This window comes from Homo sapiens, chromosome 12 (assembly GCF_000001405.40).
Source record: "Homo sapiens chromosome 12, GRCh38.p14 Primary Assembly".
In the NCBI taxonomy this organism is placed as follows: Eukaryota; Metazoa; Chordata; class Mammalia; order Primates; family Hominidae; genus Homo; species Homo sapiens.
In genome coordinates, this window is record NC_000012.12 from 71859737 (window position 1) to 71887720 (window position 27984).

The following is a 27984-nucleotide window of genomic DNA, read 5'->3' on the forward strand; positions in this document are numbered from 1 at the left end:
AGTTGGGATTACAGGCACCTACCACCATGCCCAGCTGATTTCTTTTGTATTTTTAGTAGAGATGGGGTTTCACCATGTTGGCCAGGCTGGTCTTGAACTCCCAGCCTCAGGTGAGCTGCCTGACTTGGCCTCCCAAAGTGCTAGGATTACAAGCATGAGCTACCATGCCTAGCCTTTCAATCCATTTTGAGTTGATTTTTGTATGTGGTGAGAGGTAGTGTTCTAGTTTCATTTTTTCTGCATATACATACCTAGTTTTCCCAGCGCCATTTGTAGAAGAGACTGTTTCTTCCTCAATGAATGTTCTTGGTGACTTTGTCAAAAATCAGTTGGCTCTAAATTTATTTCTGGGTTCCTTATTCTCTTTAATTGGTCTGTGTATGTTTTTATGTCAGCCCCATGCTGTTTTGGTTACTGTAGGTTTGTAGTACATTTTGAAGTCTGGTAGTGTGAGGCGTCCAGCTTTGTTCTTTTTGTTCAGGATTGCTTTGGCTTTTTGGGATCTTTTGTGGTTCCATATGAATTTTAGGATTGTTTTTCAATTTCTGGGAAGGTTGTCATTGGTATTTTGATAGAGATTGCATTGAATGTTTAGATTGCTTTTGGTATTGTGGTCATTTTCACAATATTAATTCTTCCAATCTATGAACATGGATGCCTTTATTTTATGTCCTCCTTAAGTTTTCATCAGTGTTTGTAGTTATTCTTGTACAGATCTTTCACCTTGGTTAAATTTATTCCTACATTATTTCCTTTTTTGTTTGTAGCTATTATAAATGGAATTGCTTTCTTGATTTGTTTTTCTGCTAGTTCATTGTTGCTGTATAGAAATACTACTAATTTTTGTTCGTTGATTTTGTGTCCTGCAACTTTATGTAATTAATCAGTGTTAGGAGTTTTTTGGTAGAGCTTTTAGGGTTTTCTATGTGTAGGATTATATCTGCAAACAAGGATTCTTTACAATTTGGATGTCTTTTCTTTCTTTCTCTTGCCTAATTGCTCTGGCTAGGACTTCCAGTACGGTGTTGACTAAAAGTGGTGAAAGTGGCCATCCTTGTCTTGTACCAGATCTTAGAGAAAAACTTTGAACTTTTCCCTGTTAAGTATGATGTTGGCTGTAGAGTTCATTGTGTTCAAGTATGTTTCTTCTACTAACTTGCTGAGAGTTTTTATCATGAGGGATGTTTAATATTATAAAATGCTTTTTTTCCTGTCTATTGAGATGATCGTATGATTTTTATCCTTCATTCTAATGATGTGATATATCACATTTATTGATTTGCATATGTTGAACCATCCATGCATCCTGGGATAAATTGTGTTTGATCATGGTCAGTGATCTTTTTAATGTGCTGCTGGATTCCACTTATTAGTATTTTGTTGAGAATTTTTGCATCTGTATTCATCAGGGATATTGGCCTATGGTGTTCTTTTTTTGTTGTGTCTTTGTCTAGTTTTGGTATTAGGGTAATGCTGCCCTTATACAATGAGTTTGGAAAAATTGTTTCCTCTTCAGTTTTCTGGAAGAGTTTGGGAAGAATTGACATTTGTTCTTCTCTAAATGTTTGGTAGAATTCCACAGTGAAGCCATTGGGTTTTGGGCTTTTCTTTAATGGGAGACTTTTCATTACTGATTCAAACTTACTGTACTGTAATTGTTTTTTTCAGGTTTTTGGTTTCTTCTTGATTCAATCTTGATAAGTAGTATGTGTCCAGGACTTTATCCATACTCCAGTTTGTTGGAGTATGGTAGGAGTATGGTAGGTAGTCTCTCTAATGATCCTTTGTATTTCTGTGGTATGTTTTAATGTATAGTTTTTAAATTTCTGATTTTATTTGGGTCTTTTCACTTTTTTTCTTGGTTTGTATAAGTAATGGTTTGTCAATTTTGGCTGCCTTTAACTAATAAGTCAACTTTGTTCTGTAAATTTTTTTTTTGTCTCAATTTTATTTCTGTTTTGATCTTTATTGTTTCTTTTCTTCTATTCACTTGTATTTGGTTTGTTATTGTTTTTCTAGTTCCTTGACATGCATTGTTCAGTTGTTTATTTGAACTCTTCCTGTTTTTTTAATGTAGGTGTTTATTGCTATAAACTTCCTTCTTAATACTACTTTTGCTGTATCCCATGGGTTTTGGTATGTTGTGTTTCTATTTTTGTTTGTTTCAAGAAATTTAAAAAAATTACTTAATTTCTTCTTTGGCCCATTGGTCATTCAGAAACGTTTAATTTTCATGTATTTGTACAAATTTGCAAGTTCTTGTTTCTGATTTCTAGTTTTATTTCATTAGGGTCAGAAAAGATACTTCTTATAATCTCAGTTCTTTTAAACTTGTTTAGATTTGTTTGTTTAGTGGTCTAACATGTTCTGTCCTAGGGTATTGGCCATGTGTTGATGAAAAGAGTGTATTATGCAGCTGTTGGATAAAATGTTTTGTAAATGTCTGTTAGATTCATTTGGTCTAAAGTGCAGCTTAAATCCATTTTTTTTTTCTTGTTGATTTTCTGCCTAAATGATCTGTCCAATGCTGAGGGTGGGGTGTTGAAGTCCCCAACTGTTACTGTATTGGAGTATAGCTATCCCTTTAGAGCTAGTATTTTGCTTTATGTATCTGGGTGCTTTGGTGTTGAGTGCATATATATTTACAGTTGTTATATCCTCTTGCTGAATTGATCCCTTTTTCATTATATAATAACCTTCTTTGTCTCTTTCTACAGTTTTTGATTTTTAAGTCTGTTTTATCTGATACATGTAAAGCTACTGCTGCTCTCTTGGTTTCAGTCTGTAGGTGTCTTTACAGATGAAGTGAGTTTCTCGTTAGCAGCATATAGTTGGGTCATTTAAAAAATTCCATTTATCCAGTCTGTATCTTTTATGTGGGCAATTTAATTTGTTTACATTCAAGATTGTTATTGATAGGTGAGGATTTATTCCTCTCATTTCGTTAATTGTTTCTGGTTGTTTTGTATATCCTTTGTTCCTTTTTTGCTCTCATAGTTTATCATTGAAGTTTGGTGGTTTTCTGTAATGGTAAGATTCGATTCTGTTTGCTTTATTCTTTGTGTATCTGCTCTAGCAATGAGTTTTATACTTTTGTATGTTTTCATGATAGTAATTTTCATCTTTTTTTCCTTCCAGATATAGGACTCCTTTGAGCAGTTCTTATAAGGCCAGTCTAGTAGTGATAAATTCCCTCAGTTTTCACATGTCTGGAAAAGACTTTTATTTCTCCCTGATTTGTGAAAGATAGCTTTGCTAGATATAGTATTCTTGGCTGGAAGTATTTTTCTTTCATCACATTGAATATATCATCTCATACTGTCCTGGCCTATAAGATTTCTAAGGAAAAATCTGCTTTTAGGCCGGGTGTGGTGGTTCACGCCTACAATCTCAGCACTTTGGGAGGCTGAGGCGAGCGGATCACGAGGTCAGGAGATCGAGACCATCCTGGCTAACATGGTGAAACCCCGTTTCTACTAAAAATACAAAAAATTAGCCAGGTGTGGTGGCGGGCACCTGTAGTCCCAGCTACTCAGGAGGCTGAGGCAGGAGAATGGCATGAACCTGGGGGACGGAGCTTGCAGTGAGCCAAGATTGTGCCACTGCACTCCAGCCTGGGCGACAGAGTGAGACTCTGTCTCAAAAAAAAGAAAAGAAAAGAAAAGAAATCTGCTTTTAATCTAACAGGGACTTCCTTATATGTGACTTGACGTTTTTTTCCTGCTGTTTTTAGAATTCTCTTTTGACAGTTGGACTATAATGTACCTTAAGGAAGACCTTTTTAGGTTGAATCTATTTGGGGACTTGTGAGCTTTCTGGATCTGGATGTTTTTTATATCTCTCTTCAGACTTGGGAAGTTTTCAGTTACTGTATTAAATAGGTTTTCTATACCTTTTCTTGTCTCTCATCACTTTGGAAGTGCCAAAATAGGAATATATGCTTGCTTAATGGTGTCCCATAAGGCATATAGGCTTTTGTCACTCTTTTTTTTCCCCTCACTGAATAGGTAATGTTAGACTACTTATTTTTAAATTCAGAGATTCTTTTGCTGATCAGGTCTGCTGTTGAAGCTCTCTTTTATTTTTTTATTTTATCATTGAATTCCTCAGCTGCAGAATTTCTGCTTGGCTCTTTTTTTATTATTTCTATTTCTTTATGGAATATCTCATTCATATCATGAATTATTTTCCTGATTTTATTGAATTATCTGTATTTTTTTTGTATTTCATTGTGTTTCCTCAAGGTTATTATTTTGAATTCCTTTTGTTGATTTCTTTTTCACTAGGGTCTGCTACTAGAGAATTGTTATGTTCCCTTGGTGGTGTCCTATTTTCTTGCTTTTTTTTTTTGAGACGGAGTTTCCCTCTTGTTGCCCAGGCTAAAGTGCAATGGCACCATCTTGGCTCACTGCAACCTCTGCCTCCTGGGTTCAAGCGATTTTCCTGTCTCAGCCTCCTGAGTAGCTGGGACTACAGGCACGTGCCACCATGCCTAGCTAATTTTTGCATTTTTAGTACAGATGGGGTTTCACCATGTTGGCCAGGATGGTCTTGATCTCTTGACCTCATGATCTGCTCACCTCAGCCTCCCAAAGTGCTGGGATTACAGGTGTGAGCTACTGCACCCGGCTGCTTTTTGTTTTCGTTTCATGTGTGCCTCCATTGATGTCCTTGCATCTAGTGGAACAATTCCCTTTCTAAACTCTGTAGAGTGGCTTTTATAGAGAATGACTTTCACCTGCAGTTGAGTGTTTTTTTTTTTTGTTTGTTTGTTTGTTTTGTTTTGTTTGAGATGGAGTCTCGCTCTGTTGCCCAGGCAGGAGTGCAGTGGCATGATCTTGGCTGACTGTAATCTCTGCCTCCTGGGTTCAAGCAGTTCTCTGCCTCAGCCTCCCGGGTAGCTGGGATTACAGGCGCCTGCCACCATGCCCGCCTAATTTTTGTATTTTTAGTAGCGATGGGGATTCACTGTCTTGGCCAGGGTGGTCTTGAACTCCTGACCTTGTGATCCACCTGCCTTGGCCTCCCAAACTGCTGGGATTACAGGCGTGAGCCACCGTGCCCGGCCTACCTACAGTTGGGTTTTAATTTGTTGGTTGAGAAGGGTGTAGTGATTGTTTCCGAATAGGTGCAGTGGTATAGTATCCACGTAGCTTATTTAGCTGCTTTCAGTATCAGCAATAATTGTGGGCACCTCAGTGGCGTAGGTTGTAGAATTTTGTGGCAGCAGTGGTAATGTCCTTGCTGTCAAGGGCTTTTGGGGTTCTCCTAGTCTCATTTTCCTCACAACAGGAGACTTAGCTGAGGGTGTCTAAGTCCTTTTTGGTGTCAGATTTGTTGTGGCCCATAAGCAGCTGCAGTGGCACTGTATTCTATGTGTAGGTGCTTGGAGCAGCTGTGGGTTTCCATGTCCAGGCTCAGCATCTTATAAACCTATTTTGTCATCTGGGTCTTGGGATGCAGGTTTGCCTGCTCTGGCTGTGTTGGATGTAGGTTGCCCACAGAGCCAGGATGTATGACACTGAGTCACTCTCTAGCAGCTTGGGCCCAGGGGGCTGGGTTGTAGCTGTGATTCTCTTAACTGGAGGGCAGGGCACAACACTGGCCTGACTCCTGGGAAGAAGGGGTACTTTGAAGGTTTGGGCCTGGGGAGCAGGGTGTGGCTACAGTTCAGGAATCTGAGCCAGTAGGGTTCAGTGGTAACGTGGATCTCAGGGGATGAGGTCCTGGGTAGTAGTGACTCAAGACCTTGGGATGGTGGGGCTTGGCAGTATCCAGACTCTGTGAGTCGAGGTGCAGTAGCAGCAAGTACCTCAGAATGGCAGAACACAGCTGTGGTTTGGGCCCCAGGAGAGGGGGTAGGGAATAGCACAGTGATGACTTTATTCCCCAGGGAGAGGAGTATCTCAGCAGCTTAGACTCTGGAGTGCTAATCCAGCTCCAGGGAAGCAAGGTACTAGAGTTGTTTGGCCTGTAGTGTGGGCTATCTAGCTCAGCATGGCTGTGTTTCTCTCGGATATGGGGTACTGTGTCAGCTCAGCCTGGGGATGTGTAGCTGCTCAGCTCAGGCAGGGCACCAGTTTCCCAGGGAGTGATATGCCCTTTCAGCTTTGGCCTGGTGGGGTGTGACTGTTCTGTGCAGCTCAGGCACATTTCCCTGGGACGGAAGGTGCCACTTCAGCTTGGGTACTGGGGTGTGTTACTGCTCTGGGTGGCCAAGGCACTGTTTCAACTTGGGAACTGGGGATATGGGACTGCTCTGAGTGGCCAAAGTCCTGTTTTCCCAGAAGGCAAGATGCCACTTCTAGCTCTGGCCTGAGGGGGTGAGGGCAAGTGTACGTGGACTGACTCTGTTTCCACTTGGCCCCACAGGGAAGGGTGTACCAACTTTTCACAGCTGGCTTGGGGATGGGCCAGTGGGCTGGGGTGGTTCGGTGGTTGCTTAGTCTCAGTGATGAAGGGAATCTGTGGCTACTTGCCCCTAGAGCAATACACATTCTGCCACAGTTCCAGTTCCAAGATGGCATAGTGGAGTAGTCTTTTGGGCCACAAGGACAGATGCGGTATCTTCTCCTCTCTTGGGGGAGCACAGCTATTTAGACTCGAGGCAGCTCCCTCAGCTGGGGTTAGTGCCTGTGAGGACTGCAGGGACTGGTGAAGTCTGTAGGTGTCTAAGTTGTTGGTGGAGGCTGCTGGTATTCTCTTGTTTACATCCTTGCTTTAGGAAGAAGTTCCTCCTGGTTCCCAGATGATCTCAGCTCTGGGATGGAGTGATGGGATCCCAATATTTCCTTGTTTCTCTATGTGGCCATCCTGAGTTTCTGTGTGCTCACAAGGGTTTCTGTTATTCCTATGATGCACTCTAGTGCTCTCCCTCAGTTATTATTTTTATTTTTAGAGACAGAGTCTTGCTTATGTTGCCCAGGCTAGTTATGAACTCCTAGGCTCAACCAGTCCTCCTGCCTCGACCTCTCAAAGTGCTGGGATTACAGGCATGAGCCACTGTGCCTGGCCTGTCTCCTCAGTTATTTTTGTTAAAATGTAGTTGTTTGTTCATTGTTTTGGTTGCTTGTTGCGGGTTGGGGAGAGATGAGCCCTAGGGCCTTCTAGACGACCATCTTGCTGACACCAGTCTCTGGACTTCTGTTTTTGTATTTTGGGCTATTTAAAATAGTTGGTATTTGAGAGTTGTGATTTTTGTATTTTAATAAACACATGTGCTTAGACATTAGGGTGATGAACAGATATGTCATATGAATAAAACATAAGATCACACCCTTAAAAAATAGATTGAAGGACTACAATATTCAATGAATGATCTAAACCAAGATGATATGAAAAGGGTTAAGCTTCTTGTGTAGAATATTTAGGAGTTCAGATGAGAGTAAGGGTTTTTGTTTAAAGGCCAAATGCTCCTGCATTGGTTTATAAATGTAGACATTTAAAAATTGGTTTTTAGTTCTGAAGCAGCATTGTTTTCTGCATTTAAGCCATTTCAGGAACTGTTGTCCTCTAGGGAAGCCATGTGGAAATTTTCTGGTAGTTTCTTTAGGCAATAACAGTTATGATTTAATGGATGAATGTGTCAGGAAATCTGTGATTGGTGACTTTACTGAAGACCACATATTTATCCAAGGAAAGACTGGATTACAGATTTCCTGGCAGTTCTTTCCTCAATTTATTCTTTTCATAAAATAGAGATGTAGATAACAATACTGGTTTTGACTTATTCAGGGTGGCTGTGAGGATTTAAGTGAGATCAGGGTACTTTGGAAACAAGGTGCTACAGGTTGATTATCCCTTATTCAAAACTGGGGACCCAAAAGTGTTCTGAATTTTGGAATATTTGCAGTATACTGGTGGAGGATCCCCACTCCAAATACCTGAAATCCACAAAGTGTTCATTAAAAACAAAAAATCATTTATTTATTCTTTAGAGACAGGATCTTACTTTGTTGCCCAGGCTGGTCTGGAACTCCTGGGCTCAAGCAGTCCTCTCATTTTGGCCTTCCAAAGTGCTGGGATTACAGGCGTGAGCCACCGTACCCAGCCAAGGAAGTGTTCCAAGGTCCATTTCCTTTGAGCTTGAAGCTGGTGCACAAATTTTGGAGCATTTCAGATTTAAGATTTTTGGATTAAGGATGCTCAACCTATATTTAAGTTAAAACAATTATCACTAAGTGATTTTATATTGGAAGTAAATTATGTACCAATGCAACTATTTTTTTCCTGTGCCCTTAAGTCTTATAAAATATAAGACTTTGTAAGATTTAGTAGCTATTACAAATTAATAAATTTATTAATTTTATTTGCCATTTCTGACAGAAGTGTTACTTTGTATCAGTTAACATCACACCCTTCAAAATTAGAAAGCTAAACATGACTTCTTTCTGAAGACAGTATAAATGTGGTTTGGAATTAGGAGTTTTGGGATGTATAATTTGTTCCTCAAAAAGGGCTGAAGAGTTGAGGAACACAGAATACAGAATGAGTGCAGCTTTGACTTTTTTTTTTTTTTTTTTTTCTCGAGACGGAGTCTCGCTCTGTCTCCCAGGCTTGAGTGCGGTAGCACGATCTCGGCTCACCGCAAGCTCTGCATCCTGGGTTCACTCCATTCTCCTGCCTCAGCCTCCCGAGTAGCTGGGACTACAGGCACCCGCCACCATGCCCGGATAATTTTTTCTATTTTTTAGTAGAGACGAGGTTTCACCGTGTTAGCCAGGACGGTCTCGATCTCCTGACCTCGTGATCCACCCACCTCGGCCTCCCAAAGTGCTGGGATTACAGGTGTGAGCCACTGTGCCCGGCCAGCTTTGACTTTTTTGTAAGGTGTCTGTCACTTTAATTCTTATTATTTCCCCAGCTAAACTACTTAGGAAACTCTTTCAACTTTTTCTTAAGTGAAAAAAAATAGGCAACACTTAACCAACAAATGTAAGAGGAAGAGTTGCTTAATGTGCCTAAATAAGGTAAAGTGTTTTATTTGATTGTATAGGGTTCACCTTGTTAAAGTTCTAGAATCTCTTTAGTGTTAATGGTATCATAGAACCTTAGATTGCATTGTTAATGATAGCAAGCTTTTCTTGCCAAATGAGTGTCTCTTTTTCCACTATGAGAGTTAGGAAGTTCCCGACTATTCTACTAGCTGAGTCTTACGTGAAAATATGCTGAAGTGTTATTTCTGAGTATGTCTCTGATCCATTTGTCACAAAAACTTGAGAATATTTTTTCTCAATATCTTTTTTAAAATAAATTTTATTATGTACATTTGAGGTTTACAACATATTATGGGATACATACAGATAGTAAAATGGTTACTGTAGTGAATTAGATGAACATATTTGTCATCTCACATAGTTACTTTTTTGTGACAACAGCAGCTAAAATCTACTTATTTAACTGGAGGATAGCATTATGCTATGTGAAATAAGCAGATACGGAAGGAAAAATAATTGTGGGATTTCACCTATATGTGGAATATGTATAATTAAAAAAACAACTCAGGGCTGGGTGCTGTGGCTCATGCCTGTAATCCCAGCACTTTGAGAGGCCAAGGTGGGCAGGTCACCTGAGGTCAGGAGTTTGAGACCAGCGTGGCCAACGTGGTGAAACCCCATCTCTACTAAAAACAGAAAAATTAGTCGGGCATGGTGGTGCATGCTTGTAATCCCAGCTACTCGGGAGGCTGAGGCAGGAGAATCACTTGAACCTGGGAGGCAGAGGTTGCAGTGAGCTGAAATTGTGCCACTGCACTCCAGCCTGGGCAACAGAGCAAAACTGTGTCTCAAAAACAAAACAAAACAAAACAAAACAAAACTCAAGTACAGAGAATTAAACAGTGGTTACCACTAGTCAGGGTTGCTAGGAAATGGAGAGATGTAGGTCAAAGGATAGAAAATAGATACATATGCTGAACAAGTCTAGAGATCTAATGTACAACATGCAGACTAAAGTTAATAAAATTGTATTGCAGAAGGTGGAGATTTTAAGGGATTTCTTTTCCATTTTTCATATCTTTTTTTGTGTTCCTAGGTATGAGCATCTGGTTCACCCTCCTGTTTGATAAACTGAAGTCTAGAAAATTTAGTTTATACTTCTGGACTTTCCTTTTTTCATGTTACTCTTTAAAATTATTTTTAAATATATGACTATATTTTCGCTTTGAAATATTCAAATAAGTCAGAGGCATTAACATAGAAAGTTAACAGTTCCTGTTTCAACCTTTTCTCATCCTACTCTCCTGAAGTAGTCTTTGTTAATACCTTAAAGTATCCTCCCAGAATTTGTTCTGTATATTTCACACAGATAGAAACTTCATAAAAGTGTAAATGTCAGCATACTATATATACATGATGATTTTTCTGTGTGCATTGTCTGTTTCCCCATCCATTTAATCTGCCTCATCCTATAACTCCAGAATAGTATCCCCCAAAGAATGGATATCCCAGGATATATTTGATAATTTTCCTATTTGTGAATATTTAGATGCATACCCTCCCTTTCCTCCTCCCCTTCTCCTCCTTCTCCTTCCTCTAACATTATAAATAATACTGCTGTGAATATTCTTATGCATATTTTTGTACATTTATCTGTAGGCTTTAAAATTTTTCATCTCTGTACAAACAGTATAGAATTATCTCCCACCCTTTCTCAGCTCATCCTATCCCCATGTAAGCTTCTGTTTATATGCTGGTCTGATGCTTAACAGCTATTTCAGGAAAGGCCATCTTACTTAGGTTTTTGAAATCAAAACTTCCTTGGTGATCTTAATTACTTAAAAGACTGTTTCCTGACATAAGTCCATATCACAGTTGATTAACATAACACATCCGAGAGAGGCAGTAAAAGTAATGTGGAACCTTTATAATGTAGTGGCTAAGAGCGCAGTTTTCTGTTGTCAGACTCCTTGGGTTTCAGTTTCATCACCACCGGTTATTATTTGCCTCATTTGGGCAGTTATTTCACCACTTTCAGTTGTCTTATTCACACAAATGGGCTTCTCATCCCAATGATGTAGTAGAATGTAGTTATATAATCTGTGATTTAGGGTGGTTGTAAGGATTAAGTTACAATATAAGGAGTTCCTAGTGTATAAGTGTTCCGTAAATGTTAGCTAAAAACAGGAAGATACATACCTATTTACATTTATGAATGAAGGAGTGATAGACTCTGATAGTGCTTGTCTTGCATTGCTGACCCATGATATTCTGAAGACTAATATTAATAAAAGGTCTACAGAAATAGAATAATATACACTATTGACCAGACTTATATATGTGAAAAGTTCTTAGGTCTAGAAGTGACTGTTTTTTACTTATTTTCATAATTAAAAAAATTTTTAAATGGTTTGAAATGGGTCTCAAGAATGGAATCTCAATTTATAACATTATGTCTATGAAAAATGAGGCTTAACCTTAAATGTTTAAACTTACTTAGGAGTTAACTTAAGTCTCCCCTATATTCCCATAGGAATTTATTCAAGGATTATGTCTTTATCATCTTCATGTACTTTTGGTCTTTTATGTGCTTTTTACATATAGAAGCACTCAGTTAATATTGTGAAATTGAGTTAGTGAGTCATTTCTAGGAGTCTCCATCACTACTCTGTTTATTTTTGTTCTCATCACTGCTCTTTAAAATTCCTGTATTATTTCCCGAATTTCTATGCCATGGTGTTTCAAAAACACGCCAAAATGATCTTACAGTAAAAATGTGCTATTATGGGAATAGTTAGAAAGGATTGATTCCTCATTGTGTTTCATTTGTTCTTATTCTTAGATATTTTCAAGTGCATTTTCAATTCGAGCTCAGTATTTTCCTTAATGCTCATGAAAAAAAAATACTTATTTTTTTGATTTTTTATAGAGATGAGTTCTTGCAGTATTGTCCAGGCTGGAGTGCAGTGGCTATTAACAGGTGCAGTCATAGCACCCTACAACCTTGAACTCCTGGGCTCAAGCCCAGCCTCCCAGGTAGTTGGGACTACTGGCATGTGCCACTGCATCTGGCAAAAAATATAAATTTTAGGTGGAATTTAAATATTGAGACTTGTTGCAATTAGTCTGACATCTTTGTTTAAGTAGAAGATCAAGATTGTGATTATCACGAATCTGATAAACTTTCATGCATTAACAAAGCAGAATTAATTCCAGTTTATGTTTGCTTGATTGAAGTGCTGTTAACTCTGAGAGGTATTTTTTTAAATAATACATTTATATATGAAATAATCAGAAACTTGGCCAAGTATGATAAGAAAATATATCTTAATATTTTAACATGTTAAAATAGTACTCAATAGAAATTATGTGACTAACTTTATTTTTGCTGTTTTAGATTATATATGAACAAGAAGGAGTATATATTCACTCATCTTGTGGAAAGACCAATGACCAAGACGGCTTGATTTCAGGAATATTACGTGTTTTAGAAAAGGTAAGTTTCTAGTAAATGATTTTATTTAATAATAGTTTATGGTAGTGATTCATCTTTGGAGAATTATCAGAAAGTTTGAATTTCATGTGTAAGATACAATTATGTAATTGAACAGTAATTGTAAATTTAACACCGAAATGATGTAATAGTCAAACACACGCTCCTTGACTTATGATGGGGTTATGTCTTGATAAACCCATCATAAATTGAAGATATTGTTTATCAAAAATGCATTTAATACACCTAACTTACTGGACATCATAGCTTAATTTCCTTAAACGTGCTTAGAACACTTACATTAGCCTACAGTTGGGCAAAATTATCTAACATAAAGCCTGTTTTATAATCAAGTGTTGATTATCTCATGTAATGAATTGAATACTGTGCTGAAAGTGAAAAACAGTGTTTCTGTGGTTACCTGAAGTATGATTTCTACTGCATGTGCATTGCTTTTACACCATCCTATTACAAAAAAATCCTGAGTCAAACCATCATGAGTCAGGGACCGTCTGTACTTTAGATAAAATGACATGGAATATTCTAAAACTTACGTAGAAGTTGTAGCAATATAAATTTTTCATGATGAAAAGTAGGCAGAATTTGAAAAATCTATGTAACATTTTTGATTTACATATGATGTTAGCATATTTAAAATGTAGATATTTAAGAGGCTGAAATTTTATTTTGGGTTCAGGGAATAAAATAATTAAGAATAACATATTGCTGAATATTAAATATAGTTCATAATTTCTTTCTCTAGGATGCCGAAGTAATAGTGGACTGGAGACCATTGGATGATGCATTAGATTCCTCTAGTATTCTCTATGCTAGAAAGGTATTTAAGAAAAAAATGTGTTACTAAGGGAATGCCATTTAAAAAATAACAGTATTATCCATATATAATTCACATACCATAAAATGCATCCTTTTAAAGCATACAATTCAGTGGTTTTTAGCATATTTACAGAGTTGTGCAGCCATCCACCAGTATCTAATTTTAGAACATTTTCATCACCCTCCAGAACTCTGTCAGCAGTTAACCCCTCATTTCACCTACTTTCAGTCACTGGCAATCACTAATCTACTTTCTGTCTCTAAGGATTTGCCTGTTCTAGACATTTCGTATAAATGGAGTCATGTAATAATGTAGTGTTTTTTTTTGTGACTGGCTTCGTTCACTTTGCATAAGGTTTTCAAGGTTCATCTGTGTTACATAGCATGTATGGTCCTTTTGTTTTTGATGAATAATATTGTGTATACCATTGTTTTGTCTAATAGTGTATATATCACAGTTTTATTCATCAATTGATGGACATTTGGGTTGTTTTCACTTTGGGGCTAATATATATAATGCTGCTGTGAGCATTCATGTGCAGGTTTTTTGTGTGAACATGTTTTTATTTCTCTTGAGTATATACCTAGGAGTAGAATTACTGGGTTTTATAATTGTGTGTTTAACATTTGGGGGAACTGCCACACTTTTTCAGAGCAGCTGCATCATTTTCTAATCCAGCAGTATATGAGGATTCCAATTTGTCTACATCCTCATCAACACTTGTTATTATCTTTTTAATTTTAGTAAACCTAGTGGATATGAAGTTCTATTTGTTTCCTAGGGCTACTGTAAACAAATCATCACAAACTGGGTGGCTTAGAACAGTCTTAATTTATTGTCTCTCAGTTCTGGAGACTAGAAGTCAGCAATCAAGGTATTAGCAGGATTGGTTTCTTCTGAGGGCTGTTAGGGAGAATCTGTTGCCTGTCTGCTAATTTCTAGTAGCCTCAGACATTCCTTGGTTTGTAGATGGTGTCCTCTGTGTGTTTTCACATCATCTTCCATTTGTTCATGTCTATCTGTCTGTTAATCCCCTTTTTATAAGGACATTAGTCATATTGGATTAGGGCCCATCCTGATAATCTCATTTTAACTTGATTACTTGTGTTAAGACCCTATTTCCATTAGGTTGGTGCAAAGGTAATTGAGGTCTTTGACATTGCTTTAATGGCAAACACCGCAATTACTTTTGCACCAGCCTAACAAATCGAGTCACGTTCTGAGGTAATGGGAGTTAGGATGTTAATTTATCTTTTTGGGAGGGGGCGGCACAATTCAAACCATAACTGAAGTTGTATGTCGTTGTGGTTTTAATTTATGTTTTCCTAATGACTAATGTTGTTGAACATCTTTTCATGGGATTATTGGCCATGTGGTGTATACACTGTCTTTTGGTATCTGTGGGGTATTGGTTCTATTTGATGTAGCATAGTACTTGGTGCACAGCAAATTCGAGTTTTACCTTTTGGAAGTTTGTGGAATTTTTTTTCCTGAATATTTTAGATTCCAGGTTTGAATCCACAGATACAGAACCCATGGCTATGGAGGGCCAACTGTATCTTCTTTGGAGAAATGCCTGTTCTAAATCTTTTGCCCATTTATTTATTTATATTTACTATTTTTTTTTTTTTTTTTTTGAGACGGAGTCTTGCTCTGTCGCCCAGGCTGGAGTGCAGTGGTGCGATCTCAGCTCATTGCAACCTCTACCTCCCAGGTTCAAACAATTCTCATGCCTCAGCCTTCCAAGTAGCTGGGATTACAGGTTCCTGCCACCATGCCCAGCTAAGTTTTGTATTTTTAGTAGAGATGGAGTTTCACCATGTTGGCCAGGCTAGTCTCGAACTCCTGACCTGAGGTGATCTGCCCGCCTCTGCCTCCCAAAGTGCTGAGATTACAGGCTTGAGCCACCGTGCCTGTCCTTGCCCATGTAGTTATATGTCTTTTCTTTTATTTTTGAGACAAGGTCTTGCTCTGTCGCCCAGGCTGGAGTGCATGGTGTGATCTCGGCTCACTGCAACCTCCGCCTCCTGGCCCAAGCGATCCATCCACCTCAGCCTCCCAAATAGCTGGAACTACAGGCGCATGCCACCATGCCCGGCTAATTTTTGTATTTTTTGTAGAGACAGGGTTTCAGCATGTTGGCTAGGCTGGTCTCAAACTCCTGAGCTCAAGCAGTCTGCCCGCCTTGGCCTCCCAAAGTGCTGGCATTACAGGGTAGTTACTTGTCTTTTTATTGTTGAGTTGTAAGAATTCTTTATATATTCTGGATATAAATTTCTCATCAGATGTGTAATTTGCGGACATTTTTTCCCGTATGGTGGACTGTTTTTTCACTTTCTTTTTGGTATGCTTTGAAGCACAAACGGTTTTAATTTTCATGAAGTCAAGTTTATCTATTTTTTTTCTTTTGTTGCCTGTGCTTTTGGCGTGTCATATCCAGGAAACCAGTACCTAACTCAGGATTATGAAGATGTACTGCTGTTCTTCTGAGTTTTATAGTTTTAGCTCTTATATTTAGATTGGTGATTTTTTTTTTCTTTCTTCCTCCCTTTCCCTACCTTCTCCTCGCTTCCACATCAAGTCTCCATCACCTGAGTAATGTACATTATACCCATTAAGTAATTTCTCATGTATGGTCCATTTTGAGTTAATTTTTGTGTATGATGTAAGATAAGGAATCATTTGAACAGATTTTTTTATTAAATGGTTGTACTTCTAATTCTGTTATGTTTTTGTGCTTTTCATGTGTCTGTTCAATATTTTCTCATAATTTTTTATTAAAGATTTTATTTTTATTTATTTATTTATTTTTGAAGCAGAGTCTCACTCTGTCACCCAGGCTGGAGTACCGTGGCATGATCTCGGCTCACTGAAATCTCCACCTCCTGGGTTCAAGCGATTTTTCTGCCTCAGCCTCTCGAGTAGCTGGGACTACAGGCGCGCACGTCACCACACCTGGCTAATTTTTTGCATTTTTAGGAGAGACGGGGTTTCACCATATTGCTGGTCTCGATCTCCTGACCTCGTGATCTGCCTGCCTTGGCCTCCCAAAGTGCAGGGATTACAGGCGTGAGACACTACACCTAGCCCTAAAGATTTTATTATTTATAAAATTCATTCTAATTCAAATTATACATTTTCCTACATAAATTCTGGGTTTTAGAAGTTTTATTATGGAAAACAGAGGTATCTCACTTTTCCACCAAATTTTCCATCTCCCAAGGCAATTATAAACCTTGTAGCTGTTTTTTTGATTAGTTACAGCCCTGTGTCTAAATAACATTCTTCTAACACTGCTATTTTTTTTTCCAATTTACATATGTGTGTTGACTCCTCACTGTGGAAGGTGGGGATTTAGCTCTGTTTTATCTGTGAATCACCTTGAAACTCTTGCTCAGTTGTCTACATTTCTTCTCAGAATATTTAAACACATAGATTGTCTTCTAATTTCATTTTCTTAGATACTCTTATCCCAGAGCCTTCTCACAAGCTTATCCTGGACTGATTGCTCTTTTAGTTTGCAGTGCAGCAGCTTTCCTGGGGGTTCTTTTTTGCCTCTTTTCCATATTTTAATCCCTCTGTTTTTTGTATCCCATGCCAACCTCTGTTTTGATTTATTCCTTGTTTTGGTGCAGCTCCAGGGCTTCCTGAGAAAAAGAGTGCATGGGAACAAAAACATTTCTTTTTTTTGTTTTGTTTTGTTTTTGTTTTTAAAGACTTGGCTTTATTCTGAATTGGCCTGGCAGGCCAAGAATTACAGTTTGAAAGTAAATTTTCCCGTGGATTTTTTTTTTTTTTTTGAAGTTTTTTTGTTTTGTTTTTTTTGAGACAGAGTCTCTCTCTGTCTCCCAGGCTGGAGTGCAGTGGCAGGATCTCCATTCACTGCAACCTCTGCCTCCTGGATTCAGGTGATTCTCTTGCCTCAGCCTCCGGAGTAGCTGGGACTACAGGTGTGCGCCACCACACCCGACTAGTTTTTGTATTTTTAGTAGAGGCAAGGTTTCACCATGTTGGCCAGGCTGGTCTCGAATCCCTGACCTCAAGTGATCTGTCCACCTCAGCCTCCCAAAGTGCTGGAATTACAGACGTGAGCCACTGTGCCTGGCTGTTTTTGAAGTTTTGCCTCAGGTTTTCTACTTTCCTTTATTGATGTTAAGTCTAATGCATTCTAATTCCTGATCCCATGTTATGTGTGTGTGTGTGTGTGTTTTTTTTTTTTTTAAACCTCTCTAGAAGCTTTTAATTATTGTCTTTTTGTTTCTAGTTTTATGTTCTGGTTATGTGCCTTTGTGGATTTGTTTTTTTAATACATTGTGCTGGGTACTTGATGAGCTCTTTTAATATGGAAACTTCTGTCTTTTTTTTTTAATTCTGGGAAATATTTTTGATTTATTTTAGTGATGATTTCTTCCCCATTTTCTGTTTTCTTTCTTTCTGGAGCTCTACAATTTCTGGACTGGTCCTGTAATTTTAAAATCTTTTCTTTCCTGTTTTTCCTTCCTTCCTTCCTTCCTTCCTTCCTTCCTTCCTTCCTTCCTTCCTTCCTTCCTTCCTTCCTTTCTTCTTTTTCTTTCTTTCGTATTTATTTATTGGTCTGTACTATTTTCTAGGAAATTCACTTTTCTATTGCCTTTTTCATTTTTTGCTATAATTTCATTACTAAGACATCTTTCTTGTTCTGAGTGTCCTCGTGTCCCCTTTTAAAGGAATAGCATTAGCATTCTGTTCTTTGTGGTTGTAATATATTTTCTTATTACTGAGGAGTTTAAGGATAGCTTCTTAGATGTTTTTCATCTCCCTATGTAGTCCATTTCCCTCTAGTGACCTTTTGCTCTGCCCCCACCTCATTTCATTTGAACTCTGTTTTCTGTAGATAACTTGTCTTTGATGTTTGTTGCTTATGTAGTGTGGGGCTCATATTTAACAAATTTAAGAGCAGATGCACAACAGTGATTATATTCTCTGTAGGTATGGTTAGGCCTGGTAATAGTGAGACTCTTCCTGGGGTGCATGGCTAAGCTGTTTCCTTGGAGAATCCCTAATGTCAAAGTTCACGTCTTTTTGGGCTAGTAGATTTGACAAGAATCTGCAGATTCCTGCCTGGAAATGGTAAGCTTGGATGGCAGTATTCTGGCAAATGAGTGGAGAAAAAGGGCTGGGAGTCTTGCCAACTTCTTTGTATAGGTTGACTTTCAGTTAATTCTCCTGATTTCAGTATATTATTCCTTTGCTCATTGTGTTTGATTTTTCCTAATTTAGAGATAAATGATGTTTTCCAAAACTCCAGCCTTTTGGACTTAGTTGTCCTGTCTTCAGGTTGACCTTTAATCCTTATTTCCCTGATTATTGGCATGACCTACCAATTTGAGCCTTTTTGTATGCAGAGTTGGTAGGGGGAAGTAGAAGTCAGAGAGAGAGAGAGAGAGAGGTGGGGAACAGAGTACTCTTGTAGATGCTTCTTAGCTTTCCTCACTACTGACGATAGGGTTAGGGTTAATAGGGATGGTGGTGAGGGTTTTTGTTTTTTTTTTTGGAGGAGTCTCTCTCTTTCATCCAGGCTGGAGTGCAGTGGTGCGATTTCGGCTCACTGCAATCTCCGCCTCCCGAGTTCAAGCGATTCTGGTGCTCCAGCCTCCCAAGTAGCTGGGATTACAGGCACCCCCCACCACTCCCGGCTAATTTTTGTATTTTTAGTAGAGACGGGGGTTTTGCCATGTTGTCCAGGCTTGTCTCAAACTCCTGACCTCAAGTGATCCACCTGCCTTGGCCTCCCAAAGTGCTGGGATTACAGGCATGAGCTACTGCACCTGGCCTGAGGGTTGATTTAAAAAAAAAAAAACTAGTCAAACAAGAAATGACATTTGAGGAAGGAACTGGAAGAAAAAACAATCTATTTGATAATTTCATTTGTTCAGTTTCCCTACTGTTTTTCAGTCTGTTTCTATTTCTTACATCTTAATTTTTCTTGTGCCTTTATAGTTTCTTTTCATTCTTACTAATTTTCCTTTTCTCTTTTAAAAAAGAATTATACTATTGACACATGAATACAATCCTGTTGCAAAAGTTCAAGTAATAGAAAGTTGAAGCCCTGCTTGACTAGAGTCTTTTCCCTTACCTGTCTCTCTCTCTCTCTTTTTTTTTTTTTGGAGACGCAGTTTCGCTCTTGTCACCTAGGCTGGAGTGCAATGGCTCAATCTTGGCTCACTGCAACCTCTGACTCCTGGGTTCAAGCTATTCTCCTGCCTCAGCCTCTCGAGTAGCTGGGATTACAGGAATGTACCACCATGTCTGGCTAACTTTTTTGTATTTTTTGTAGAGACGGAGTTTTACCATGTTGGCCAGGCTGGTCTGAAACTCCTGACCTCAGGTGATCCACCCGCTTCGGTCTCCCAAAGTGTTGGGATTACAGGTGTGAGCCACCTCGCTCGGCCTCCCTTACCTGTCTCTGTTTAATGTATATCTTTCCAGACTTTTACCTGTATGCATTTTATTTTTATGTATGTATGTGTTTAGAAAGACCTAGTTTGTCCTCCTGTGTCAGTAGTAATGAGCACTGTCATCAGCAGTGTGAGATGGTCCATTTCCTCACGTTGTCTTCCATATTTGATATTATCTTTTTTAATTGAATGGGGCAAAAAATAGAAATCTGTCAACTTGCTTTTCATTGTTACTGAAGTTGGACATCTTTCTATGTTTATTACATTATATTTCTTCTTCTTTGACTTGCCTATTCATACCATTTGCCTGTTTTTCTGTTTTGATATTTGTCTATTTCTAAATAAATTAATAGGAGTTGTTTTGTAATCTGGACATTTTTCTTTTGTCATATATTTTAGAAAGATGTTGTAGTTGTGCTATCTTTAGCTAATATATGGTGTCTTTTGTTGTATAGAAATTAAATTTTTGATTTACTCAAACCATATTGCATTTTAGACTTTTGGTTTTATTATCTTTAAAGATGGAAAATTCTATAGAACTATACCTGTGAATATGTTGCTTTTAGCTAATTTTGATTGCCTGTAAGAAATTATACAACCATTGATGGCTTAAATAGCCACCATTGGGCTCTTTTCTTTAAATAACTAAAAGTTTGGAGGTTGGGAGCTTTTTGCAGTGGTTCTCTTGCTTTTTATTTTATTTTTAGGCAGCATGGTTACATTCAAAGCAGGAAAAAGGAAAAAAAGGATGAGGCTTTTATTATGAAAGCAAAGCCATTTTCAGAGTTGACTTCTGCTTATATTTCATTGGCAACTCTGACTGCAGGGGAGTCTAGTCAAGCTTCTCTTCCTTTTTTTTTTTTTTTTCATAAAGATGATCAAGAGAGAAAAGTATAGGAAATGGTGTTCAGTTTTCCCACCAGTGATGTCGTCTGCAGCCTGCCTACAAACATTGAAGCTAAGATGATATGGATTGAAATTAAATTTGTTTTAGACTTTAAATATTTTATATGTTATAATTATTTTAGGACTCCAGTTCAGTTGTAGAATGGACTCAGGCCCCAAAAGAAAGAGGTCATCGAGGATCAGAACATCTGAACAGTTACGAAGCAGAATGGGACATGGTTAATACAGTTTCATTTAAAAGGAAACCACATACCAATGGAGGTATGAATTAAATCTTTTGAAATCTTAAACTGATTTGCTACAGTATACTAATAAACAAAAATGCAAAGAAGATTCGTGAATGCTCCTCAGTGAGAAGGATGATTAATTTCTTTGGTTAATAGGTATAAATCTCATATTTTAGTTATATTCCCTTTTCATCTCTGTTTTATTGGTTGTGGCTTCAAAAAAATATTTTAAAATACTTGCTCTATTTTATAGTTATTAATGGCAGAAAGTAGAACCACTTTAAAACATTCCTTTGGCTGTCCTTCATGCACATTTTTCTTAATTTAGTAGAATTATAATAATCATGTTATTTTATCCTAAAGTAACAGAGGGAGATGGAGTATACCACTAAATCATACCATTCTAATTTCAGCATCTTGCTGGACTCTTCATGGCTCATTGCAGTTTTCCCTTAATATGTGTTGAGTGACTATTCTCCTTTCTACATATATACCATCATGTGCCACATAACAGCATTTCAATGACTGATCGCCTATATGTCAGTGGTCCCATAAGCCCATAAGATTATAATGGAGCTGAAAATTTCCTGTCACGTAGCGACATCATAGTCTTTGTACGGTCACAGTGCAGTGCATCACCTTTTCTACATTTAGACGTGTTTAGATACACAAATACTTAGCATTGTGTTACAGTTGCCTGTGGTATTCAGTATAGTAATATTGCTATATAGGTTTGTAGCCCAGAATTTCATAAAAGAAAGAAGCTTTACATGAATGAGAAAAGCATAATCTGACAATAAAGATCACTTTATTAGTGGTTCTCAGCCTTGGCTGCACATTGAAATCACCTGGGTAGGTTAGATTTTTAAAAAATACTACCCAAAATCAGACTCTGGAGATATAGCCTGGGCATCTGTGCATTTTAGAAGGTCTTCAGATGACTTTAATATGTGGTCAGAGTTGAGAACTTCTGTGTAGCTGTGTAGCTTAGCAAAAAACGACAGATGTAATCCTGCTTATGGCTTGACCACAGACTTTATTTTGTAGTTATTAAAAGTTAAAGGCCGGGCGCGGTGGCTCACTCCTGTAATCCCAACACTTTGGGAGGCCAAGGCAGGCGGATCACGAGGTCAGGAGATCGAGATCACCATGGCCAAAATGGTGAAACCCTGTCTCTACTAAAACACAAAAAAATTAGCCGGGCGTGGTGGCGCATGCCTGTAAGTCCCAGCTACTGGGGAAGCCGAGGCAGGGGAATCGCTTGAGCCTGGGAGGCAGAGGTTGCAGTGAGCCGAGATTGTGCCACTGCACTGCAGCCTGGCAACACAGCAAGACTCCGTCTCAAAAAAAAAAAAAAAAAAAAAAAGTTAAGGAGGCATTTTCTAAGCCCGTGGGTTCATTTCTAAGCTTGAGGGTTTATTTTGAACCCTCAAGCTTAGAAATTCCAGAGGTTTTAAATGTATTTCATTACGAAACTTTCTTATTTTCTAAAAGTTTTTTTCCCCCCAAAGAAAAAGCTTTTGTTTTTCTTACCTTTTACCCTTCTCATTTTTAACTTTGTACTTTTTTCTTTTTTGTGTGAGGCACAAAGCCAATTTGGGACAAACCTTTAAAAATTGACTATCAGACTTATTTAATTATATTTCTTAAGAGCATTTTGCTTTATATTTCATAAGAGTTTCTACTGCTACATCCTTTGTTATTATATACCAGACAAGTTAAATGTTTTGGAAATATTCCTTCCAAGAACATCAGACTGTCTCATGTTTGTTCTAGAGATCCATCCAAATAAAATTTGTCCTTGATGTTAATTCTATTTAAGGCATATAGAGACTTACTGAACTGTTCTGCTCTTACAAGAAGAGTAGAGTTGTTTGTTCAGTTCTTCTGCTATTATATTTAGTATTCTCATGTTAGTGTGTTGGAGATAGTTTTTACATGTATTTGGTAACATAGTAAATTCATTAGAACTAATTAATTTTCTTTACCTTTGCTTTGAGTAGAAAGATATTTTGAATTCACTCTTGATTTCCGTTTTCCTTTGTAACCATTTCTATTTCTGGCTAGCTATTTGCAGCAGAATGCTTTGCAGTTTAGTTTTATGTTGACTTGATACTAGGTTGTTAATTCACTTATTCAACAGATAGTTCATCTTTGACTACTTACTGTATGCTAGCCACTCTTCTAGCACTGAGGATATGGCTGTGAACAAGATAAAGTTCCTGTTCTCATGAAGCTTTTATTCTAGTGGAGGGCCTAGAATATTTGTCAGGGCTTTAAATTTAAATATTTCTTCGTCACAGCTTTAAATGTGGAAATGTGTGAGGCATTTTCTTTTGTATGTAATATATGTCTCTTCTGTTAATGAGGGAAAAATCTATGTAAAACCTTTACTCTTGAATATGCATAAACTCCTGATAATTCATATAGCATACATATAGTATTTAATATACTTCATATGATTTTCTTGCATTAATTTAGATAAAATACTCTGTGCAACGAAGAATTTAATTTAAAAAATTGTCTATATGTAGTTTTTTGGGTTTCTTTCTTTTTTTCTTTTTTTTTTCATTGCTGTTTTTCTGTGAAATATTTTTGGTCTTTGCAGATAAGCCAGCAGTATGTATCTGTTCTAGGTAGTCTAAGTACATTCATACTTAAATGATTCATGAATAAGTTGAAATTCTAGAACTGTTCTCACTTAGATATCAGCTTGAAGTGGTCTTATGAGCTCTAAAATATAAATACCAGTGAAACATTATGTAAAGTAGTCAAGTGGGCACATGGCACTTAATCTGGTATCTCTTACATGTGAGTTCACTGTCCAAACTGGTGTGAAAGCTGCTGGTCATTGTATATAGATAAGTTACTTTAGCTTCCTTCAAATGATACTTGTTTAAGTGTCCATGAAATAATGATGGCGCATGGTTTCCTTGCAGATAGAGGTTTCTGTAAGCTGTAGATTTCTTTTTGTGAGTTCAAGAGATCTTATTAGAGATGATTGCAGATAGGACGGTGATACATCCATGCAGGTCAACACTGATTAATAAGTCTTCTGATCTAGTCTTGTAAGCAACTTCCTTCTAAGTAGTTTATCTTTGTGGGACTGGTAGTATGGGACAGAATTAATAAAGGTCTTGAGTAGCAGGATAGTGTGACACTTCTTAAGAAATAACATTTTAGGAAAGGTTTTTTAAAATTTCAGAGACACGACTTGCTTATGTTGGAGTTAAATTGTTAAAATGGTGTTTTAGATTAGAAGTGAATTATAAGAACTAGCATCATTAGTGAGAATAAATAGTTTTTTCTCTTTCAGTTTTTTATTTAAATTGTTGAGGTTTAAGTTGCTTGTTATCAATTACGATAATGTTCACAAACCTGGAATTTTCGCTTCTATAAAGAGGCCACAAACTCAGAACATGCCGTATTTTACATAACTATAATTTGGTTTGAACTGAGGTCTTAATTTAGTAGACAGTTAATTTAGCAATTGAATGTATTATTTTTGAAGCATTCACAACTTTTTATCTTTTCATCAATTCCTTGCTATACTTTGTTTTTCTGCAAATAAAATGTCTGTATATTCACTCCAGTGTTATTTTTTATATCAGTATGCTTACTTCACTACTAGTGTAGTGTCCTAAAAATAATTACAAAAGGAAATGAAGGAATAAAAGTTTTTGTTTTGTTTTTTGACTCTTCAAGAGAATTAAGCTATTCTTATTTTGGGGGGAGTGGGACAGATAAACATTTACTGAGAATTTTCGGTATACTTGGCTTGCACTAGTTAGTTGAAAAGTATTATCTCCTAATTCTTATTAATAGAATTACAATGGGAGGTAAGTATAATTATCTCCATTTTACAAATGAAGTAACTGAGGCTCAGAGAAATTCAATTATTTGTCCCAGGTCATTCAGTTAGTAAGATGGTAGTGCTGCAATATGAATCCAGTCTGCCTGCTTGCAAAGCCATGATCAGTTTTTTTGGGCAAAGCTTGTATTTTACATAGGAATAACATTTAAAACATTTATATGTGGTAGGATAATTATTTTAAAAATCATTTTTTAAAAGAACATATAAGTAGCCATATCTAATACAGGTGGAAGCCATAATAATATAAGTGCTATACTGATTCCCTGGGTTCAACTAATTTATGTTAGGCAGTCATGGAGAGCACTGTCAGTACCTTTTAAAAAGGTGAACAAAAATATTTTGCCCCACTTTCTTGTTTTTAAGATGCTCCAAGTCATAGAAATGGGAAAAGCAAATGGTCATTCCTGTTCAGTTTGACAGACCTGAAATCAATCAAGCAAAACAAAGAGGGTATGGGCTGGTCCTATTTGGTATTCTGTCTAAAGGATGACGTCGTTCTCCCTGCTCTACACTTTCATCAAGGAGATAGCAAACTACTGATTGAATCTCTTGAAAAATATGTGGTATTGTGTGAGTAAGTATCATATTATTTTCTACTTATTGAAACCAGATCATTGTATTAATCCCAAAGCAAACTATTTTTACTTGACCTTGGGCATCAGTGACCTATTTGCATATGAGGACATGAACAGCTTAGTTTTTTCTGGGATATTGATTTCTTTGGAACAATGACTGAATAATATTGTGTTATTTTAGTAATTTGAATCTGAGACTTACCACCTAATTACTGTTACAAAGAAAAGGGTAGTTTAATATTTTTTATACATTTAAATGAATGATGATGCATTAGTAATTTATGGCCTATGTGTTTACCTAATTTACCCTTTATTATGTATTTTCTATTAAATATACAGTTTTACTTGTGATGTTGCAGCTTTAAGTCAGGCAAGTCCTAAGTCCTTTATAAAATTATTTCTCAGTTGGAAGACAGGGCCTTACCACTTTCCAAAAATCTTGTCTCTCATTTAGTTACTGTGTGCATCTGTACACACACATGCTTCCTCACTGTTACTCTCAGCAAATATTTTTTGGGTATCTGTTACATCCCAACACTGGTAGTTGCTTGATATTTAGTAGTGAATAAAACAGGGGTGTTCCTAGGAATTAGAGAATTCATAGTCTTGTGAAGGATGTCAACAAGTAAAATGGCAATTAAAACTGAAGGACTAAGATGAAGAAGTGTAAGCCGCTTTGGGAGTTCCTGGGAAGGAATGAGGGGCACTTAATTCAGACTGGGAGTAGGGATCAAGGAAGACTTCCTGGAGGAAGAAGCATCTAAGTAGAGACCTGAAAAATGAGTGACCACTATAAGGAACGGGAAGGAGATACTTAGAGGGAAGGATGTTTTAGATGAAGGGAAGAGTACAAACATGATGTAATCACACAACAAATTAATTCAGTATTACAGGTCTGCAAAGTATGAGGAGGGGAGGGTGATACAGTTAAAGATGAGGCCAAAGAGCTGAGTAAAGTCCAAAGCACAAAGCATCTTTTAAGTCATGTTAGCAGGTTCTTCCAGTTATCCAGGTGAGATTAAAGTGGCCTGAACTGGGATAGTGACAGGAAAGATGGAAGTATTGGAGTCTTTAGAATTAGATTTTGTGATGGATTGGATATATGGAGGTAAGAAGGGAGAAGTTGAGGTTTTGGGCTTGGGGGAACTGCAGGGAATGATTGCTAACCTTCCTTCCTTCCTTCCTTTCCTTCCTTCCATGCAGTGGTGCGATCTTGGCTCACTGCAACCTCTGCCTCGTGGGTTCAGACAGTTCTCCTACCTTAGCCTCCTGAGCAGCTGGGATTACAGGCGTGCGCCACCACGGTTGGCTAATTTTTGTATTTTTTAGTAGAGACAGAGTTTCACCATATTGGCCAGGCTGGTCTCGAACCCCTGACCTCAGGTTATCTGCCTGCCTCGGCCTCCCGAAGTGCTAGGATTACAGGCTTGAGCCACTGCGCCTGGCTGCTAACTTCATTTATAATGTCCTCACTTTATAGTAGAATTTAACACCTTGCCCAAATTTAGATTACATAAGGCTTGCCTAAATTTAGATTACATAAGGCTAGAAGTGATACAAAAACTGGAAGATTCTCGACTGTGTATTTTCTGGCCTGAGATTCTCCCCTGCCATGTTAATCACCTCTAGCTGGCAACAGGCAAGCTGTTCAGTGCCAGTAAGTGTAAGAAAGTCAGACCTGCTTGGTGGTATGTGGATTGTGGATCTTGGATCTCGAAGTGAGAACCTGTGATAGGTTACCATTGAGAGGATGAGTAGATTTCAGGAGAGACAGTATCATGATTGGAATAGAAAATTATGGTTATTTAATAGCAGGCATTAAAGAGTTGGGAGTTTTAGCACCATAGTAAGCTCAGTATCGGTGTTGCGATGTAACTCACAAATGAGATCATTTGGTCTGAGACTGTTGATTAAAGCATAATATCTAGGATGAGGGAGGTGGTAGCTCCTCTCTCCTTTTTACTGATTATATTTTGGAGAAGTAGGCTTGAACTGCAAGTAGTAAACACTGCATTTTAAATGTGCTAGACTACCTATTCTATAGGTAAGAGATAGCAAACTACTGATTGAATCTCTTGAAAAATATGTGGTATTCTGTGAGTAAGTATCATATTATTTTCTACTTATTGAAACCGGATCATTGTATTAATCCCAAAGCAAACTATTTTTACTTGACTACTATTTTTACTTGATCAACTATCAAGTTGATCAACTACTATTTTTACTTGATCAACTATCAACTATTTTTACTTGATTACAGAATAGAAAATACTATTCTGTATTGAAGAGATAACCAGTGTAAGGAAGGGGATCAAAATGGTCCTATGAAAAATATTTCATTGAAGGATGTGGTTTAACTTGAAGAAGAGAAATTTCAATGCAACATTAAATAAAATCCAAACTTCTTCACTGTCATCAACAAGGGCCTGCCCTATCTTAGCTCTGTTTATCTCTTAAAACTCATCTCATGCCATTGTCTTTTCCATTCTACTCATGCAGATTTCTTTCAGTTCCTAAAACCCCCTAAACTCTTTCTTGTCTTAAGGTCCTTTATGCATACTGTTTTTTCTACTTGGAATATTTTCCTCTCTTTCTGATCCCTGAGGTCTCCATTTAATGTCACTTCCTCAGAGGGGCTTATGCCCTCTTTCCCCATCTAATGTAGTTTTCCTATCTCTGCTCCTCACTATCTAATTTT

General features: G+C 37.6%; 1 protein-coding gene across 43 annotated transcripts in view, besides 1 other annotated feature; it reads left to right on the plus strand.

The window, feature by feature from the left end:
- The window catches only part of TBC1D15 (TBC1 domain family member 15), an 84555-nt gene that overhangs the window by 19978 nt on the left and 36593 nt on the right, over window positions 1-27984 (plus strand). For 26 of the 43 annotated variants that reach the window (NR_169783.1, NR_169765.1, NR_169767.1 and 23 more), the window contains 4 exons: window positions 12334-12432; window positions 13193-13267; window positions 20733-20871; window positions 25075-25285. Coding sequence is in view for 17 of the 43 variants with exons in the window: in XM_047429362.1 (XP_047285318.1) it covers window positions 12334-12432; window positions 13193-13267; window positions 20733-20871; window positions 25075-25285 (524 nt within the window). In the remaining 26 variants the exon portion in view is untranslated. Of the gene's footprint in view, window positions 1-1668; window positions 1761-12333; window positions 12433-13192; window positions 13268-19583; window positions 19635-20732; window positions 20872-25074; window positions 25286-27984 lie in introns of those variants that run through there. The other 17 variants (NR_169781.1, NR_169766.1, NR_169789.1 and 14 more) reach the window with 10 other exon arrangements.
- Window positions 23499-23699: a silencer, noted in NCBI's record as "peak1826 fragment used in MPRA reporter construct". NCBI's record gives its function as "represses an SCP1 promoter by STARR-seq MPRAs in K562 erythroleukemia cells {active_cell/tissue: K562}" and the evidence as "EXISTENCE:reporter gene assay evidence [ECO:0000049][PMID:32103011]".